The 22,689-nt window shown below is 35.5% G+C and overlaps 1 protein-coding gene across 8 annotated transcripts in view; it reads right to left on the bottom strand.

Annotated features, from left to right (window-relative positions):
* GRM1 (glutamate metabotropic receptor 1) overlaps positions 1–22,689 on the bottom strand; it is a 409,895-nt gene that overhangs the window by 125,609 nt on the left and 261,597 nt on the right. For all 8 annotated transcript variants that reach the window (NM_001278065.2, XM_017010784.2, XM_011535782.2 and 5 more), the window contains one exon: positions 7,147–7,382. In NM_001278065.2, coding sequence (NP_001264994.1) covers positions 7,147–7,382 — 236 coding nt within the window. The remainder of the gene's footprint in view (positions 1–7,146; positions 7,383–22,689) is intronic.

Raw genomic sequence — 22,689 nt, 5'->3', positions numbered from 1 at the left:
AAATTATGTGTGATCTTGCATTTTCCAAGAGCAAATGATAACATTCTCAATCATATGTAATGAAAATGAGGTTACTAAAAGTATAAATTTCAATCACCTAATAAATAAGGTTCCAGAAAATAGAGCAGGAAAAATCATATGATCAATCAAAACAGCACATTAACAAAGTATTGTTACCTATCATGCTATGTAAAACTACGAAACCAAAAGTATTTTTTTTCACAATTTGTAAGTTCATGCTGTTACTCATGTATCACTGTTACTATTATGTTTATAAGAAATAAACTATTTTAAACAGAAAAATGTATATTCTAGTACCTGTATTGATACATGAACTGTGGCTAGTGAAACTGAGGAACTGAAGGTTTCATTTCACGTGATTTTCACTGATTTAAATTTAAATACAAATAGACACATGTGGCTAGTGGCTAACACATTTGGCAGTGCCAATCAAAAGTGTTAATAAGAGATAGGTAGGCCAATATTGTGCCTATTGAATAGTTACTCTCAGAGCTTCATCTGTGTGATAATCAGATTTGTCTGAGAAATTATAAGGTCCAGATGAGACACACAGTCAGTTCACTTTCATTCTTCCAACTAAGATATATAAACACTTCTAAGACTTGTAAAACCTATTCCCATAAAGCAACTTATAACAGCACTGTATGAGAACATATGACTGTTTTATTTTGAGAGTATTTGTTTGACTAAGCTATAACTGTACCTCATTTTTTCAGCACTTCCTGTATGCACAGCAGATTTCCTAAGTGGAATAGTTTAACTGCCTAGGATCAAGGGGGCTTTAAAATTCTTTTGATTGCAGGATCTATAAAACTTTTTGGCTTTGCTCGACGAGATCCTGGGTGCAATATTGCACCATTCTTCTTATGATGGGAAAAGACTGAGCATTCTACTATTGGGTTGAGGAATTATGTCCCATAATTTAATTAAACCAACTATTGCTCCATGGATTACAAAGCTATGAATACCTTTATCAGTTATCAATTGCCCCAAAAAAGCCGCATAACAAACCATCCCAGGGCTTAGTGGTTTAAAACAATAATAATTTATTTAGTTCATGAATCTAGGAGTCAACTAGGAAGTTCTGCTGCTCTGAGTTGGACATAACTCATCTCAGCTTGGCTCACTCAGGCGTCAACTGTCAGGTGGTGGGTTGGCCAGGGACTGGCTGATCTAGGACATTCTCAACTGAGAGGTCATCCTGTTTCTGATCCATGTTATTTCTCATCTTCTACCAGATAAATTCAAGCTTATTCATATGGCTAAGGTAAGGTTCCAGGAAAGAAAATGAGAGTAGGTCAAGTCTCTTAAGGCCTAAACTTAGAGTTAATAAATGGTAAGGTCAATTCAGATTCAACAGGTAGGGAACAAAACTCTACCTCTCGAGGAGAGATGCTACAAAGCCATATTTCAAAGAGCATGGATACAAAAAGGGGTGAAGAAATGTAATGTCTTCCACAAACCCCAACTAATAATACCAACTTCTGGGTTGAAAGCAAATGATATTCTTCAGGAGTGCATATTGACATTTGGGTCAAACTTCCCAAGATAAAGAGAAGTTATTACCAAAGGACCTAATGGGCTGAAGTAAACTGGAACCCATCTCAGTTTATGGAACATCTTAATCTGGATCAAACTCTAATGGACTGATCTTATCTGGCCTTATAAAATAAGTTAATTCCAAGTGGAGTCCATAAAATTTGAAACCTAATAAGGCAAATATATTATGAAAATTAGTATCAGTCTAAAATTGTGAATGGCAGCCTCCAAACTATTGGAGTAAGAGTCCCCTTGCTTCAAAGTCTTAAAATGTTTTCACTAGACTAGCTATCATCATCTTACCAGTCCTGAGCTGTTGGTGAGAATTAGATACCAGCCAGATTCTTTCATTATGTCTTCTAAAATAGCCAAATGTAATATAGACTAATTTTAAAAGTCATTGTGTCCATCTGTTCTCAATTGGTACAAAGAATATGGAGAGAAAATAAAATAATGGCTATAACTTCACTGAGGTGTGAAAAAGGCTGATAAGGACAGAATAAACCCCATGAACTCATACAGTTAATATACTGCTAGCCGGAGCAAATATTAAGTATGCAAATATTGCCATATTGCAAGAAAATGCAGTTTATATTTTTAAGGGACCCCAAATTTATCAAGTTATTACTAATAATTATATTTAGGAATCTACTGTAAAGGAACAATCCCAAAACAGTAACAACAACTGTGAAAAATCTGTGTATCATATTCAGTGCTTTTTTTTTTATGTAAGAAGGAAAATTAAAAGTCGTCTAAATGACTGACAACATAAGAATGGCCAGTAGTTATAGTATTTTAACTGGTTAGAATATTATGGAGCTTTTAAAATGGTGGTTATAAAGACCATGAAGCAACATCAAAACTATGTAAAATATAATCCTGAGTGAAATAAGATAGAGAATTGTATGCACACTGTGATGATAATTATGCAAAATAAAATGAAAAGAATGCATAGAGTTTCAAGCAGCGTTAGTAGGAGCTGCCTTTTGGAACTCCTTTTCAAAAGCTTAAAAATGTTCTGTTTTTTTTTTTTTGAGACAGAGTCTCGCTCTGTCACTCAGGCTAGAGTGCAGTGGCGCGATCTCGGCTCACTGCAACCTCTGCCTCCCAGGCTCAAGCGATTCTCCTGCCTCAGCCTCCCGAGTAGCTAGGATTATAGGCACCCGCCACCAAGCCCAACTAATTTTTGTATTTTTAGTAGAGATGGGGCTTCACCATGTTGGCCAGGCTGGTCTCGAACTCCTGACCTCAAGCCATCTGCCCACCTTAGCCTCCCAAAGCACTGAGATTACAGGCATGAGCCACCATGCCCAGCCAGAAATGTTTATATCTCTTGATTAAACTTCTAGAAATTTAACTTCTAGAAATACAACTTAAGAAAATTATCCAAATGTAAAAAAAGAAAGTTTAGAATGAAAATTTTTTTATTATATCACTGCAACATTTTTGAAAATTGTGAATAAGCAAAAACAGCCTAAATAGAAAGAATGAAATGCCTAAATTATAGCTTATGTGAATGCAAAATGTTAAGCAGCCATTAAGAATAAAAGAATTTAACGACAAAGACAAATGTATCAATGTATAAAACATTTCTTTTAATACAGCAATATATAAAATAATATTAATACATAATTTAAAACTATATAGAGAAAGATGAAAACATGCCAAAATTTTAACAGTGACTAATGATGTTTAGATAAGAGCAAATTCTTAATTCTCTTCAGCTTTCTAATGCTTCTGTATATTTCCAAGTGCATGCAATAGCATATTAAGCACGTATTACTTTCATCATCAGAAAAAAATTATAAAAGACTGCATGGGAAAATATAAGAGAAAATATCTATATTGGCACTAACTATGTAAGGGTGATTGATTAAAGATTGTTGTCTTGTTTTTTCTAGTTTCCACATCCTGGGATGTAGTTAAGTTAAACTTACAATTACAAAATATATAATTTTTATGAAATGATCTATGTCATGCCCTGTTTTCTAATAAGACATGACACTAGTAGTAACATTTTACATTTATGTTAAGTATTTTCAGTTTGCAAAGTATTTCACTTGTATTATTTTATTGTAAAGTAGTTCATTTGTGTTATTTCATTTAATTCATGCAGAGTTCTGTGTGAGGTGGATATTGTTGTCATGTTACCAAAACTGAGGTTCTGAGGTTAAGTGAGGTCATGCAAGTCGTGCGGCTGATACATAACTGAACTGGTATTGGACCCAGTGATAGTGCTTCAAAATGCTACACCCTATCAGCTTCTATGGAATTTCTAATAAGTCTCATCAGGAATGAAAAAGCACTATGCCATTGCAAACATGATACAAATCTTTTAAGCAGCTAAGACATTTACTGGAAGAGAGTGACTCTGATTTGCTTTACAGCTCTTTCCACTGTCCTACAATGATTAATTTTTTAGAAGTTATGTTTTGATGTTTCAGTTAGTGCTTTTCTAACACACCTCCAATCCCTTGATATACTCAACTAATTAAGCAGTGATGTGTACTTTACATGAAATACTTTTTAATTAGCCACAGTGATTCCTAAACTACTCAGCCTGGGTTTGGGACCTTTAATATTCAAACTGGCAATCTAGTGCACATAAACTCTTTATTTAAATAGTGACATCTGGGATTAAGTTCAATAATGGTTTCTATGGAAACTAATAGCAATATCAAAACTTTCCAAACCACTAGAAGTGACCCAATTAGAAGAGGTAAAAAGGAGTGACAGAAACAGTAGCTATCAATAGTATGGAAAGGTTAATTCTCCTTCCTCACACTAATTTTCATAGATGTGTCTGCATATTTGTTAGAAGATTATGGAATTCATTTGATATTCAAGGATCTCAAATGGATAAGAATAATACATGAAGTGAAAGTTTATTGTTCTTCAATAACATTGAAGCCAATTTCACAGAAATATAGAGATTAAAACCGAAGACCAAGGTAGGTATACATGAATGTATACATCATAGATAATATAGATAAACACTGCTAAAGATAAAAGTATAAGAATTTTGCTGCATAAAACATAAATAAGTTTTATGAATTAATTCAAATAGAAAAGTTAAATAAACCTCCTGCCTTCCTTAGACCTAAAAAAGAGAAATATTTGCTGAACTTGACTCCAGAATGAAATGCAAATATAAACATGTTTCATAAAGATTGTAATCATATAAGAAGCTCTTAAACACAGCTTTGAGATTCAAGCACAGCATAAAAATAAATCAAGATTTGTAAATTGTTATTTCTTGCTGTGAATACTAACACAGTTTAAGCTTTAACCTTGACATTTATGTACTGTCACAATTAAAAACCCAAAATATTAGTGTACCTTGTTGCAGAGTTTTAACTTGTTTTGAGAGCTCAACAAAATATCTTCCTAGAAATCCTTATATAAATGATCTAAGCATAAGTAGTATCCTGAATTTTACTAATAAAACACAATGACAAAATGACATCTGTAGTTGGACCACCATCAGATATCTCAGACTTAATTTATCCAAAATCAGCCTCTTGGACTTTCCCTAATCTTTTTTTCCTGAAGTCTTCCTCTGTCTCAGTCAATGGTGACACCATCTTTCCAGTTGCTCAGATTACAGTTATTCTTGACAATTCTGTCAGCAAATCTCAACCTTCACTCAACATGTCTTCACCATCAAACCACTTCTCTCCACTTTGCTTCCCACTACCGGGCCCAATTCACCACCTTCACCTGCTTTTTCAGTAGGCTCCTCACTGCTCTTCTCCTTGGGCCCTTCAGCAAAACTCCCTACCCTGAATGAAAATGTAAATTAACTGATCAATTAGCTAACAAGAATTGACTGAGCTCCCAGAGATCCATGTTGTATAGGGTTCTATGAAGCAAGTAAGGATGCTTTGACTACAAAGATATTACAGTTGAAGATGGCAAACATTTCTTAGGAAACAATTAGAAAGCAATGAGAGATAATATATTACCAAATACTAAGTCTAAAAATAGGCACTATGTTGTCTAGGAGGTGTGGGTTGTCGTTTCTTTGCTGCCATTAACCTTATGAGCCTAGGGAAACTGTTTCCCCTGTTCACCCTCATCACCTCTGTTTTGCAAATAAGGAGACTGTCTTGGATGATTTATTGGTTCATTAGAATGCTTATTCTTGGTTTATCTATTATTTCAGAGAAAGGAGATGTCTATTATTTCAGAGAAAGTAGAAACACCTACGTGGCAGAGGTGGGTTATTGTTTAGCAATGTCTCCCCTTTCTCCTGCCTTTCGCCGCCTCCCTAGAAGCCACACTGAGGAAGTTCTAAAAGATTGAAACTTCCTTATTTGAAAATAGATCCATACCAGGCAATTTCCCATTGAACTCTGCTGAACCTTATGAAGCCAAACATACATTGATGCATTTACATATATTGGTATCTGAAAGCATTTTCTAACATCAAACTATGAATACTATTGAAAATAGAAATATTTTATGTAATTAGCCATATTCTTACCATCCCCTGCAAAAACTCGTTGTCCTCTATTGTTATTTGTCTATTTCATGTATGTGATCTGTTTTGATTTGCCCAAAGAGATGGCAAGCCTCTCTAGGTCAAGAGTCATGGATTATACGCTTCTCTATCCCCCTTTGTTTGCTATATACAGTGTTTTATACATGGGCGTAATATGATTCTATACCTTTATAAATAATATCTGCGTAGCCTACATACAGGATATACATGTCGCACCACTGTTCTACAATACAAATTAGGTCATGGATAGATTCCATCACCCATTATCATGAGTGCTCCATTATTCTATGCTATCGACCCAGTAAGAACAACTGGCTTTGAATGGCATTATGAAAGGACATAGATGATTTATCTTGGCAGCATAGAAAATACTGAAAAGGACAGGGGACAGCAATGTCCCTATGCAGTAATAATAATACTCATAAAAGTTACAGTTTTCAGAATCTGGGTTATGGTAGTACTAGGGGTTGCAAGGAGGACATCCTGTGGATTTCACCACACCCCTGAAGAACTTGGAACAATGTGCTGCTGTTTCCTGTCATGGCATCAGTGAGTAGTGCATGGGGCTCATCTGTCCAGCTGTGAACCATTGTTCTGACTGAAAGATCAGAGTGCAGTTTCTTGGCCCCTATGCCCACAAACACTTTTGTTGGTCGTGTGGCTTAGGGTCACATTACCTCATCTTCTCCTGACTTCTGTATCTAAACAAGCCACAAAGAAAAAAGAGGATCTAACCAGTATTGCTGACTTATGTCTATGGCTAAGGTCTCCTAAACATGTTTGTAATAAAATCTCTTCCTTCTGTCTTAAATACTAGATACCTGACTCCTCAGTTTGCTTTTCCTTTACTTCTGTTATCTCGTATCACTTGCTCCAACAGAGACCAAAGTTGTCTTTCCAGATTGCCATGAATCCCTGGGGTAATACACAATTCCTCCTTATTCTAGCATTTTATAAACACAGATGGCAATTTTGTCTTTGGATCTCTAGCCCTGGCACCTTCTATTCTCATTCAACAAGTTGCAATAAATCTAGAAGAGATGACCAAACCTCTGAGTTGTTATTTTGTGAACATGAGTTACCTGTGCAGATTCGTTTAAAGTTGGGATTTTCCAGAAGGTGTCCTGGAAGGCGGCACTGGAACCGATGTTGCCAGAACTCAGGGAACCAGGGATTCCTCGTGTTAGTGTCCAGCCTCAGTTTCAGGAAATAATCATCAAATGACCTGACCTCTGGAGACTGCAGCTTTATCGTGATTCCCCCGTTGGCTTCCACCTCATAACCTTCAATGACTTCATCTCTGTCTGCCCATCCATCACTAAAAAATGCAGGGATTGGGGTAGGGAGAGAGAAAGACAAACATCTCACAAATAGAGCTCAGAGTTATATATGAATGAAGCAATCCAGAAAAGGCTACAGACTATTTTAAGCCAGCATTACTACCCATCAACTTTTTTTTTGGTAGAGAGTAGAAAGTTTTGAAAGCATAATATCCTGTTTGTTTCTTTGTTTTTCACAATTGTGAAAGTGATGATGAGATGATGACAGCAACACTTACAATTAAAGTTCGATGAGTATTCACTAGTCATCAGATTCTGCGCCATTCACTTTTACTGAGAGGGAAGACATTCAGCCACAAAGCCTATCAGTCACTCTCCAAACCAGAAGAAAATAAAATCTAGGTACCTCAGAGGCTGACCTTCAAAATAAGAGCTCAACAAGGTTTCAGCATTGCAACGAAGATCATTACATGAGCTACCTTACATAGATAAGAAAACTGATATAGTTCTGAAACATGCCAACCACAGTTTTTCCTCCTGGGACATCATTCAAATCTGCCTCCCATAGAAGTAGCCAGATATTTTCATTTTTTTAATGTTACTTCAAAATAGCAGCATTAAAGAAAAACAATCTCATCTCAAATTATAAAAAGAATTCTCCTTCTCACTAAATGGGAGCACACTGACATTTTATTCAGTTAGATAGAATTTTTGAAATGTGATCACCTTCTAGAACATTCCTATCTACCAGACGTAATGTAGCCCCAGTTTAATTCAGGTGCACATGTGAGCCAGGCCTATGAGGGTATCAAAGACAAATTCCACCAGACAAAGCTAAACATGCAAAGAAGACTCTGTTCAAGACTATTACAACATATGAGAGACACTGAACCCAACTCTGCTAAAATAAAAGATGGGAAGGTTTTTAGTCCCGGGTGAGCTAGTGGAAAAGTACTGGAGGGCCACTGGCACGAGGTCGGCCCATGTGATTAGGCATCTGTGTTTGCTAATTGTCACATTAGACTCCTGCCATCCCACAGAAACTGGAAGGGAGGGGTTTACCACTATTCTTGATGATTACATTTAAAGGGATGGCTGTCAGGTCCTTGTCATTCAGTAAAACTTCCTTGGTTTCTGAAATTAGCAAGAAACTAGACGATCTACATCTCAAAAAGGCAGAGAAATAATTTACAGTTTTAGGTTTTCCAAAGTAAATGCTCTTAGAAAAGGGACGTCAGGGGCCTGTACTCAGGAAGAAACCTGTCTAAAGTTTAGTCAAGCTGAAGAGAATATTAAGGCTGTCTTGGTCAGGGGATGGATTTATTCTTCTCTGCACAGAGTGGTGCCCTGAAGTTTGTGGAATATAAAGATGCAGTCTCTGCCAAAGAAAGCATTTTATTGCTTGCTTCTCACAGAGAAGGGACTGGGCAAACATTAGTGACCATATCTCACCCTTGGTTACCTGAGATCAATTGAGATAAATGTACTCTTAGCTGAGCTAAGCAGTGCAGTTCTTCTCTAGAATCTTCCCATTGAACCACACATGAGCTGCATTTTCAACAGATCAGGGGTTGCTGAAGGTATAGCTGACTTAACCTGACCCAGAACTAAAGGGACTTTGAGCTACAGTAGAGTCTAGCCAGCCACATCAGAGAATGTATTTTTTATATGCTTCCAAATCCACTAGGGTAGAGACTCTTTTTGTATAGATCCTTCCTTCCTTCCTTCCTTCCTTCCTCCCTCCCTCCCTTCCTCCCTTCGTTCCTTCCTTCTTTCCTTCTTCCTTCTTTCTTTTTTCTTTCTTCTTTTCTTTGCTACTTCTGTGTGTTCCTAGCAGTCACTGTGTGCCAGATGTTCTGCTATGAATTCAAATGAGAATAAGACTCACTATCCTCTGCCCCCACGGTGCTACAGCCTTGTGGGGAAAACAGACACTAAAAAAGAATTACAAACTCTATGAGGCTAAAGAAAAAGAAGTGCCTTTAATCCTAGGACTTTGGGAGGCCAAGGGAGGTAGATTGCTTGAGCTCAGGAATTTGAGACCAGCCTAGGCAACATGGAAAAACCCCATCTCTACAAAATAAATAAATAAATAAATAAATAAATAAAATTATCTGGATGTGTTGGTCCACACCTGTGGTCCCAGCTATTTGGGAGGCTGAGGTGGGAGGATCCTGTGAGCCCAGGAAGCTGAGGCTGCAGTGAGTCATGATCTTGCCACTGCACTCCAGCCTAGGCAACAGAGCAAGACCCTGTCTCAAAAAAAAAAAGTGACCAGTATCATGGGGAGCGATAGCTTGGGGGTTTAACTTAATCTAGTGTGCAGATATGACACGTGTGCCTGCTTGTGTGTGTGCACGCACGCCTGTGTGTGTGAGGTAGTGGGGGACAGAGGTAATTAGAGATGGCTTCTTTAAGAAGGTGATGGCTGAGCTGAGACCCAAAAGAGGAGTCAGGCTTAGTCAGGTGAGGAGAAGGGGAGGGTTTGGTATAGAAGGTTCCTGGCAGATTAACATACAAGAAAAAGTTTGGCACATTCAAGGAACTTAGAAAGAGTTAGTATAGCTAGAGAATAGAAAGAAGTATGGCATGCGATGGGGGTGGGTGCATAAATCCCAGCCTAGACACTGTTAGTCTGAAGACCATGGGAAGTCCTCAAAGTGTTGTAAGCCTATTACTCAATCAGGTCATTCTGCTCTCCTCCCTCATGGTAAATGACCTGCCTATTGTTCTAGTGAGTCCTCTGCTTACCATCGCTGAATATGATGGCCAGTCAAATTGATTTTAAAAAGACTGACTCATTCATTTTTTTCATATGTCCAGTCTGCTCAGAAAGGCTCAAACCGGTTTATTTACATTTAAATGTATTTATATTTACATCTTAACTACATCTAGAGCAATTTGAAGATTTGAGCTATAGTTCATGACACAAAGGAGGATAAAAATAAGACCAGTTAGGCTTTGAAGAAATTCTGTCTAAGGGTAAATATTTAAAAATTGAAATGACATAACTTGAAAAAAATAACTGCTTTTGACATAAAGGTTAGGGTTGAAGTGTGTTTCTCCCTAAGGTTTAATAAGATGTGAAATTTGTTTTGTTTACAGTCTGTACAAGAAAGTCACCATCATAAAAATGTGTACGAAATGAACTTGCTGTGATGTTCATGTGCAATTTAAAAGCACATGACAGCTTAGTTTGTAAAGGCAAATGCTTTGTGTCAATTCTAGAAGGAGAGAAAAGTGTGACTTCCTGCCCTTGAGCCCACCAGCATTGAAGGGCACTTTATAGGACGAAAACTTTATCTGTGAATATGTAGAAATTTTAAGTCACATGGTTTAGTGGTCTGGAATTCTAAGTCTCCTTAACCACTAGTTAAAGACCTTCACCCTCACTATAGGTGCCTGCTCTTTCAGAAGTTAGAGTTGTTGTTAAATCTAAGAGGTCATAAAATCAAGGAGAACCAGGATATAAGGAAAACATTCAAGTAGGATTTCTTGGTGGATATGTTTTAAAGAGTTAATTGCTAAAGGTTTGTATGAGATCTTAAATCTATCACAGGTAAGGTGTTAGAGAATGCTATCATGAAAAAAAGTCACTAGAAAACATCTCTAAAGCAATCCTCTGTTTTTATACTTTCAAAGTGTTTCATCTTTGTATCACCTGTCAAATGCATTTTCAGAAAATTTTAAAGGATTTTTGCTGTTTCGTTGCATTAGGATTCTGTGTGAGGATGTTGTTTTGATGAATTTTCTCTGAAGTACACTTTAAAAGAGCAAACCAGCAACATATCTGATTCCTGGTAGAGGATCTTTCTTAGATGGTGGTGGCAGGGTGTAAACTAGACTGTGCTTGACCTGAGATGACCTGCAGGTACCTGGTCACTCGCCAAGTGTCTGGAGTGAATCCTGCTGTGCTGGGTAGTGACCCAGCCTCAGACAGCACTGGACTCTCTGTGAAGCACATTCACTGCCTCTAGCAGCTTCTGCTGCTCCATCTGCTTCTCAGTTATGAGTTCCGTTTTCTAGCTGGGGTCTGGAAATAAAACTATATATTGTGAACTGTTTAACAGAAAGCTGTATGTCTTAAGTATTTCTCACTAACATACGAGAATTCTTATTTCCTATTCCCCCTCAATATTTTTATACAGCAATTCTTCATGAGGCTATTTTCCAATCAACCTATAAAATTTCACATTTCAAACCTGAATAGTTAGAAGATTTCTTCTATCTTATACATTCTAATATTAATAACAGGAAAATACCATTTCTGCTTCCACCAATTACAATTTGACAGGGGCTGTATGAATGTTACTTTTGCATTATATCAGTTAAACTAATTTAATTAGCAAACTGACAGTAAAAAACAGAAATACAATAGTATTTTTTAAATGTGCAAAAACATTTTAGAAAAACCTATTTTCATTCAATTAAAATAATTACAGTCTAGGTGCTAAAGCAATTTTATTTGTGTTATGAGTTCAAGTAATTGTGTGTACCTGATAATAAAATTATAATTCTTTAAAATATTCCAGAGATTACAATATAATAGGGAAAAGACGAAAACCATAATCAAACGATATTTTTAAAACATATGTAAACAAATATGACATTCTTTTATTTACAATGTTAACCATATTCACAACGGTTGAAGAAATATAGCACGTGTCATATTCATTTGACATTTATCAAATGAATAAATTTATTAATTTCTTGAGCAAGAAATGAGGTGAACACTACTTTTTTTTGGCGTACTGCTTGGATGTTTTCAAATCATGGCACAAGGTTGAGGTTGTGGGGAACTCAGGTACAGCCCAGTGGATTTGCAGAGTTGAGAAAAAGGAGCTGGAAGTCTAGCAAAGCTAGGGAGGCCAGGGTTTACAGGGCAAATGCTGCAGAAGAGATGCTACGGCAAAAGAGAATGGTCTGCAGTACATCTCCCACAAGTATTCAGATGAATATTAGCCATTTATTTAATGAAATTACCTGAGGCTGAGGAATAATCAACCAATATGATTTGAAGGAGTAGCACCTGGAGGCCATGTATTGTTGGGAATAGTAACTGTTTCTAACAGCTAGAGTGAAAAACTTTATATTCCAAGGAGAATTGGATAATGTATTAAGAAGGGTCTTGCCTCAATAGTGAAGAAAAATTGGCTTTTGACTAAATACCACTCTGGGCCTGCCTAACAAACCATAAAAGCAAAATATAAGAGGATCCAAATATTTAACTTCCTCCCAGAACTAGTTCCAGAACATTTTTTTTAATGCAAAATACTTGGTACTCAACAAGGTAAAATTCTCACTGTTTAGCATCCAATAAAAAATTACCAGGCATGTAAATCCATATGTGGATGGAAGGAGAAAGTGATATTAAAGTTACAATTATAATAAATTATCACACGGTGATGTAGGTTAGATAGAGGAATTTTTAAAGAGTCACGTAATAGGAATGAAGAGGAATATATTTTTGATTGGGTGGCCAGGAAAAGTATCAAGTGCTTTGAGAAGCAACTTTGAAGAGAAAACACTTAACACTAAGATCTGAGCTACATGAAGGCACAAGCCAGGTGAAGATCAGAGGGAAGGAAGTCTTTGGGCAGCTTGTGCAAAAATCCTAAGACAGGAACAAGCAGCTATGACTGAACATTACCCATTGCCATGAAACTCTAGACTAAGCAGGTTTACGTTAATCAGAAGAAAGGATATTTGAGTAGACACTTTTGTTTTTCAGCTATCTACTGTATATTTGATACCTAAATTTTTGATGTGTTTTCATAGCTTTTGTAAAGTCTTTGCTAGGAAGTGAAGATGACATTTTCTACGAGAAGACGGTCCCATTTTGATAACCTAGATTAATGAGTCACTTCTGAGAGCAAAACTAGAGAAATAAATGAGCCCATCAGGGCTTAGAGCAAGCCACAGCTCTCTTCCTCACACCTTACTCAGTAGACCCTATTTCTATGTCATTAGGAGCTCAGAAACACCTCACTGTTCAAACACCTCACAAAGATATGCAAAGTCCCCTCCAGAAAAGTCTTAACATTTTGTTCTGAGAGTTTTCCATATGGCCTCAAAATCATCTTGTGTTATTGCAAACTGTTGGCTACAGGACTTCACTAGGATTCTGTTAGAATGGACCCAGTTTTGAAGTTGAAATTCTGCAAGGTTTGAGTGGAATGTGAAGTTTTAGACTTTGGCTTCACTAGGTCCCATAGTGAACTCATCCAATAGGCTCAGCCTCGTTACTAAAATTTCTATTACCACCTATTTTTTAGTGATCTCTCATTCTAAAGCAGCCCTGGAGTTGAGTAGGGCTCTGCTTCAGACAGGTGACTGGAAGCAAGAGCTATGCACAATTTCTGTAAAAAAGAGAGAAAAAAAGTGTTCCTTAATAAGGACCATAGATAGTCTGACCCTCAGCCAATTTAAAGTCATATGTGAAAAGGGCACAAAAGTATATATGGAGTCAGGGAGGGTAGGTATCATGAATAATAAGAAGTTAGGGGTTTATAAAATGAATGTAGAGAATGAATGAGTTATGACTAAATTGTGAGGATATTGAGCTATTCTTGGCAATCATGCCTGGCTGGGCAGTTTCTTGGGTTGCAGTGTCATTGCAATGACTAAAATGAAACTCCCAGCTCAGGGGCCTCAGGCAACAAGAATAATTCTTCAGCACCACAGAGAAGGTAACTGTATGTTTTCAGTAATTTGCAGAAGAAAGGAAGAAAAGAACACAGAGTGAAAGGGAAAGAGAGACTAAGAAATGAGCATCTAAAGACCATGGTAGCAGAATAGTCAGCAGTGCACATATAGAGGGTTAATTTTCCAGGGCTGCTCCCTTGTATTCTGAGATGCCAACCAGGTTGTCAGAATCTCTTTTAGTTCTTTTTAAAAACTGATTTATTTTTCTTATTTGAACAAAAGGTCAAAGCACAGCAATTTGTGACTTTTCAAACGTGAATCCAATGGTTTAGTAACTCATTAACAAATCCCCCCTAACAGACCCAGTGCAAGTGATTCTAATCTCTAATTTCTAGATCCTGCCATTTGAAGAAAAACAAAAATGTCCTCATCAGTTTGGGGTCAATAGTTCTATGAATTGCTAATTCATCCTAAGTATCCAAAGTATCCCCTGACGTTTTGCATTAAAAGTAGAATATTTAAAAAAAAATTGTTTGGACTTTTTGGCTGGGCGTGGTGGCTCATGCCTGTAATACCAGCACTTTGGGAGACCGAGGCAGGCGGATCACGAGGTCAGGAGATTGAGACCATCCTGGCTAACACAGTGAAACCCCATCTCTACTAAAAATACAAAAAATTAGCCAGTCATGGTGGCACGCGCCTGTAGTCCCATCTACTGGGGAGGCTGAGGCAGGAGAATTGCTTGAACCTGGGAGGCAGAGGTTGCAGTGAGCTGAGATCGCGCCACTGTACTCCAGCCTGAGCGAAAGAGTGAGACTCCATCTCAAAAAAAAAAAAAATTGTTTACACGTTTCACAATGTAGTCAACTAAGTTAATGCAGATATTCTCCTGAATACAGAAGTATATACAAAAAATGAAATATAATCAAGAAACAAAAAGTAATTCCCAGGTGCTAGCAATGGTGACAGAAATCAAAGCCAAATGATATGCATCAGGGAATGCTTATCAACAATAGCCTGTAAGGCCCTGGAGACTGGAAATCGATTCTAACACCCATCTGGTGATGTGAAAGATGGCTTCATGAATCGTAGAAGTCAGACAGCTGAAGCTGAGACCCAAACAGAAAACTGGGATATTTGAAGTCTTACAAAATCCAATAGAATGGAACTGGAAGTGTTGCCTGAGGAGGCTTGAAGTCAGTCCAAGGACTATGGTAGAAAAAGTAATAAAGGAAAGTCACCATGCACAAGAGTGATGTCTGAATTTACACAGCCTATATAAGAACCATAAGTCTAGATATTGTTATAAAAACTCATCTAACATTATTGAAAATCCCTAGGATCCAAATGAAATGCCATCGGAAGTCAAAATTTAAAGACACTTTTAAAATCAATGGAATTCTGAATTACCATTCTGGGAGGCAGGGTAGATGGGGAAAGGGGATATGTTAGTTAAAGGGTACAAAATTCAGTTCAACAGGGAGAATAAGTTCTAGCAGTGTATCATAGTGTGGTGACTATAGTTAATAATAACGTATTGTGTATTTTTAAATTGCTAAAAGAATAGATTTTAAATGTTCTCACCACCAAGTAGTGATAAGTATGTGTAGTGACGGATATGTCAAGTAGTCTGATTTAATCATTCCAGAATGTATGCATGTATCACAACATCACATTGTACTCCATAAATATAAAGGATTAGTATTTGTCAATTAAAAGTAAAAGGAGCTAAAAACAGAACTACAATTCAACCCAGCAATCCCATTACTGGGTATATATCTAGAGGAATATAAATCATTCTACCATAAAGACACATGCAAGTAAATGTTCACTGCAGCACTATTCACAATAGCAAAGACACAGAATCAATCTAAGTGCCCATCTATAACAGATTGGATAAAGAAAATGTGTATACACCACGGAATACTATGCAGCCATAAAACAGAATGAAGTCATGTCTTTTACGGGAAAATGGATGGAGCTGGAGGCCATTATCCTTAGCAAACTAATGCAGGAACAGAAAACCAAATACCGGATGTTCTCACTTATAAGTGAGAGCTAAATTATAACACATGAACACAAAGAAGGGAACAACAGACTCTGGGGCCCCCTTGAGGGTGAAGGATGGGAGAGGAGCAGAAAAAAATAACAATTGGGTACTAGGCTTAGTACCTCAGTGAGGAAATAATCTGTACAACAAACTCCCTTGACATGATTTTACCTATGTAACAAACCTGCCCATGACCCTCGAACCTAAAGTTTTTTAAAAAAGAAAATATGCCCACTAAGATAATCTCTCAATAATATACATATACATACACAGACTAGAGCACTAAACTGACATCAGATTCACAAATGAGTTAAACTTTACTTTTAAAAGACAATTATTCTAAAACTAGATACAAAACCTAGCATTACGCTTTGAGAAATTCCAAAAACATAGTGATATGGAATAGTTAAAAGAAATGGATAGGCTGGTGTGGTGGCTCATGCCTTTAATCCCAGCACTTTGGGAGGCTGAGGTGTGCAGATCACCTGAGGTCAGGAGTTCGAGACCAGCCTGGCCAACATGATGAAACCCCGTCTCTACTAAAAACTACAAAAAAAAAAAAATTAGCCGGGCATGGGGGTGGGCACCTGTGATCCCAGCTGCTTGGGAGGCTGAGGCAGGAAAATCACTTGAACCCAGGAGGCAGAGGTTGCAGTGAGCCAAGATCATACCATTGCACATTCCAGCCTGGGTGACAGGGTGAGACTCCATCTCAAAGAAAAATAAATAAATAAATGGATAGATGATACTATTCTCAGAAAAATGGCCAAAACAAAATTAAATACTGATTAAAATATCCAACTAATCCAATTCTAAACAATCAATCAAATATCTAAACTCTCCAACAGAAGGCAGGAAAGTAGGGGAGAGCACTGGAAAGGTAAGACAAACAGCAAGCGCAAGATAAGCTGATGACACTAATTCCACATATATCAGTGATTATATGTAAATTCACAGGTTAAAAAAAAACAGACTTTCTATTAAATTAAAAAGAAAAACATCGATATCTTTTTTGTAACACGTTTTTCTAAAATATGAATGTACTGAATAATTAAAAGTAAAAGATAGTAGGAGATTAACCAAACAAATATTAACTAACACACAGTAGAGGTTGTTATAGTAATGTAAGATACAACTTATTTTCAGGCATAAATCTTTATTAGGAATAAAGAAAGTCAGTGTCTCTGAAGATAAAATAATTTGAAATTTGTACAGTAAGTAACATAGCAAGATAGAAAGTAAATTGATAAAAAGAAATCTCTCGCCTCTATGTGAATCTCTCTCTTTGTAATCTAACTTACTACTCTGTTATTAATAGAAGAAGCTGGCAAAATTTGTTAGAGATTTAGAATATTTTCACACAATTAACATGCTTGATGCTTGGTCTAATGAACATGTATAAGGTCTCCTTCTTAACAGAGGAGAATGTGTTTCGATGGCATACATGGAAATTTAAAAATTAATCTAGTTAATAATGTAAGTCTCAACATATTTTAAAAATTAATATATAGCCCACATCTCTGAGCATCATAAATTAAATTAGAATCTTTTTTTAAAAAAACCAACACATCTACCTCCAACTACTTGGAAACTAAAAACTTTAAACTTCTAAGGAAATTGAAGTTAAAGAAGTCATAAATGAAACTTAAAACATATTATTTGAATGTAAAGAAAAATACCAGATATTGAAATTCATAGGAAGTAGCTTAAAGAGTTCTTAGGAGGAAATTTATTCCCAGAAATGCTTATATTTTTTAAAAAAGAGAAAAGCTGAAAATAAATGAGCTTATTTTCAACTTAAGAAAATAGAAAAGAACACAGAATAAACATAAAATAAAGCAAAAAATAATAAAATTGGGGGAAAGATGTAATAAAAATGATCAACCAACCTAAAACTTGGTTCTTAGAAAACATTAATGAAATATTCAATCCTCTGAGATTATTGTCATGGATGAAAAAGAGAGAAGGCACAAAAAAACAATATTTAGCATAAAATTAAAATATAATGTAACTTCAGATACAGGATAAATTTTTTTTAAAATTATTTAAAATACTATGAAAAAGTTGATGCCAATAAATTTTAACTCCAAGCCAATAAAATTTAATCCTAACCATTTTCTTAGAAAAGCTTAATTAGTAAGACTGAAGAAGAAATATAATATCTGAACAATAGTATATTTAACAATGAAATCAGTAGTTTAAAATGTACTCACTAAAATAATACTAGATTTACCAGATGGTTTAACAAGTGTTCATAGAACAGATAATTGTTATCTTATATAAACTCAACCAGAGATTTAAAAAATGAATATTCTCCAACTGAGGATATTATAACTTTCCGATTAAGGATATTATAACAATACTAAAACCAGTCAAAGACTGAAAGATTTCTGAAAATATATGCCAATATCACTCACGATATTGTTGTAAAAAATATATAAAGTCAAATTAAGGAAGGTATAAAAAGAGACTATATTACAATCATATTTAATTAATCAAGTAATCCAATAATTTTTTTGTTTTTTGCATTTATACCTGGTTGGCTTTATTAGAGGACTAGCAAAAGTCAGTCCTGTAGAGACATCAGCTCAGGCTGATGTTTACAATTCACCTGCATCAAGCATCTCCTCTCCATTGTTTTTTTAAAAATTATTCAATTATTTTTAAAACTTAAGGTGAAATTTACATAACATCAACCATTTTAAAGTGAAAAATTCAGTATCATTCAGAACATACAAAATGTTTTTCAATCATCACTTCTATCTATTTCTAAAATATTTTCATTACCCCAAAATACAACCCCATACCCAGTAAGCAGTTACTTCCTATTTCTCCCTGTCCCCAGTCCCTGGCAATCAAGTCACTTTTTTATCTCTATAGATTTACCTATTCTGGATATTTCATATGCAAATGTAATCACACAATACATGAACTTTTGCATCCAGCTTCTTTTATTTAGCATGATGTTTTAGAGATTTATCCATTTTGTGGTGTATATCAGTGCTTCATTCCTTTGTACGGATGTATAGTATTACATCGTATCAGTATACTACGATTTGTTTATCCATTGGTCTGCTGATGAGCTTTTGGGTTGTTTCCATCTTTTGGCTATCATGAATAGTGCTTCTATAAACATATGTATACATGCATTTTTTTGACTATCTGTTTTCAAATCTTTTGGTTATGTATCCAGGAATGAAAATGCTGGGTCATATGGTAATTCTATGTTTAGCTTTTTTGGAACTACCAAACTGTTTTCCTTGGCAGCTGCACTATTCTACATTCCCACCAGCAATGTACAAGGGTTTCATTTTTGTACAAATTCATTAATTATTGTTATCTACATTTTTTGAATTCTAGCCATCTTACTGGATATGAAATAGTATCTCATTGTGATTTTGATTACCATTTTTGTAATGGCTAATGATGTGACTACTTTCCTGTGCTTGTTGGTCACTTGTATGTTTTCTTTGAGAAATGTCTATTTGTGGCCTTCATCTATTTTTAATTGCATTTTGTTAAGTTGTAAGATGTATATATTCTTGATACTAGGCCCTCAACAGATATATAATTTGCAAATATTTCTTCCACTCTGTATGTTGTCTTTTCACTTTCTTGATAATGTCTTTTCATGTATAAAAGTTTTAAATTTTGAAGTCCAATTAATCTATTTTTTCTTTCATTGGTAATGCATTTGATGTCATAGCTAAGAATTAAATTCCAAAGTCATAAAGATTTACTCCTATGGTTACTTTTAAAATTTTATGGTTTCACCTCTTATATTTAGGTCATTGTTATACTGAATTAATTTTTGTATATAGTGTGAGGGAAGGGTCCAGCATTATCATTTTGTATACAGATATCCAGTCCTCTCAGAAATATTTGTTGAGACTATTTTTCCCATGGAATGATCTTGGCTTCTTCACTGAAAATAATTTGGGTTTATTTCTGGATTCTCAATTCTATTGCACCTGACTATATGTTAATATCTGTCCTTATGCTGGTACCACATTGTTTTGATTACTATGGCTTTGTAGTAAGTTTTGAAGTATTAAAATGTGAGTAATTAAAATTTCTTTTTCTGTTTCAATATTGTTTTGGTTATTTGGGACCTCTTGCAATTACATATGGATTTGAGGATCCATGTTTCCATTTTTCCAAAAACAGTTGTTGGAATTTAATAAAGATTGAATTGAAACTTACAGATTTGTTTAGATAGTTTTATCATATTAGTAATATTAAATCTTCTAATCCACAAATATTGAATATTAAGTTTTCCAATCCATGCATATCTTTCCATTTATTTGTGTCTTATTTAATTTTTTTAGCAATCTTTTGTAGTTTCCTGTGAAAAAGTCTTTCACTTCCTCATGGTTACGTTTAAGAAGTATTTGTGGTAGCAAATGAAAGAGAAGACAAGGGGGACTTTCTTAGAATAATAACAAAAATTTTCCTAAATATCAGAAGATCTAGATGTGTGTATCTACATACACACATGCACACTACAGAAGCAAAGAGATAAAACACCTCAAGGAAGGCTTTACAAAGTATAAAATAAATATATATATAATATATCTGTTCAAAATAATATATACATATTTCTGTCAAAAAGATATATTTATCAAAAAAAGCAATATTGGCTTAACTCACACATTATAATAAAAATAATATATTAAATTGGATTTCAAAGAACCAAAACTATGTTGCATACAACAGACCCACCTAAAATAAAACTTATCAGATTGAAAAGCTGAAAATAACATGATATGCAAAAGCATACCAGGGAAATGTAAACAAAAAGAAACCAACTAACATAATTTTAACATCAGAGAAGGAATAATTTAAGGCAAATGCCAATTTTAAATTCGTTTGATTAGCAACCTTAACTCCATCTGCAATATTAGTTCCCCCTTGTTTCATAATATAACATAGTCACAGGTCCGGGAAATTATGATGTAGACATTTTTGGGGGGTCATTATTGTGCCTACCACAGTCTGCCCTCTGTTGCATAAAGATTTGTATCAATCCCACATTCAAAATACAGTCACTGTATCCCAACATCCCCAAAAGTCTCAACCCATTACAGCATCAACTCAAAGTCCAAAATCTCATTTACATTTCTTCAACTCAATATTCCCAGGTCTCATCACCTCAATCATGTAAAGCAGGTATGAGTGAAACATGATGTATCCTGGGGCCAAACTCCTCTCCATCTATGCCTGTGAAATTAGAAAACAAATTATCTGCTCCTCAAAATACAATAGTCGGACAGGCATGGAGTACCAGTATATAGACATTCCCATTCAAAAAGAGAGAAAATTGAAAGAAAAAATGAGTCACCAATCGCAAGCAATTTCAAAACCCAAATGGCCAGACAATATTGGGTTTCAAAGCCTGGGAATAATTCCCTATGGTTACAGGCTCTGCCCTCTGGTCATGAGACTTGGCTCTCTGAGTCATGCTTCCTTTTTTATGAATGGTAGCACATGTTTGCAACTGAATAGTTTATCAGTCTATTTCCTGCCTGTATAATTTTGTGAGTCTGACAGTTATGCTTCATTTCATAGTCTCTGTCCCTTTCAGTCAGAGCTGTCAGTTTTTTACGTTGTTAAGAAATTCTGAAGAACCTTGTGTACGTCAAGAAAATGTTTCCCATTAAACAAGAGTTGCGTCCATGGATCTTTCCTAGATAATCTGATCTCTATTTTTGGTTTCTCTGGAGATGGCTAAGGAGACCCATAAAGTGCACTAATCTGTTCAAAGAGCCCCTTGTATGACCGAATACACTTATCTTTTGATCTTTTTAATGCAGTAACAAAAGGTTGTCCAGCCACACCCTTGGCTTTCCCTACAGATCATGTTTTCCTGACAGTTATTCTCCTAATTTTAGCATATTTGTAATCTGGACAGGCTGAGCATTTCCCAAATCCATTATTTTTGCCTAACATCTCTTTCATTTCCTTCCTTTCACACTTCGCTACAGGTACAATCATTTTTCACTTGGCAGTGGGGATGCATCCTGAAAAACACATCCTTATGTGATTTTGTCATTGTGTGAACATCATAGAATGCATTATTTACACTCACCTAGATGGTACAGTTTACTACATTCCTACACTGTATATACATGGCCTATTGTTACCAGCATATAAATCTGTGCAGCCTGTGACTATATTGAATACTGTAGGCAATTGTAACACAACGCTAGGACATCTAAACATAGAAAATATAAGTACAAATAATGTATAAAAGCTAAGAAATGGTACCCCTGTACAGGACACTTACTATGAATGGAGCTTGTGGGATTAGAGGTTGCTCTGGGTGAGACAATGAGTGAGTGGTGAGTGAATGTGAAGGCCTAGTACATTACTCTACCATAGACTTTATAAACACTGGGCATTTAGGCTACATAAACGTACTTTTTTCTTCCATAATAAATTAACCTTAGTTTACTGTAACTTTTGACTTTATTTACTTTTTAATTTTAAAAATTGTCTGACTCTTTCATAATAACACTTAGCTTGAAACACAAATACATTGTATAGCTATATAAAAATTTTTTATATCTTTATTCCATAGACGTTTTTCTAATTACGTCACTTTTTAAACTTTTTAATCTTTTTTGTTAAAAATGAAAACGAACAAACCC

This window comes from Homo sapiens, chromosome 6 (genome assembly GCF_000001405.40).
Source record: "Homo sapiens chromosome 6, GRCh38.p14 Primary Assembly".
Taxonomy (NCBI): Eukaryota; Metazoa; Chordata; class Mammalia; order Primates; family Hominidae; genus Homo; species Homo sapiens.
This window is presented reverse-complemented; position numbering and strand designations above follow the sequence as displayed.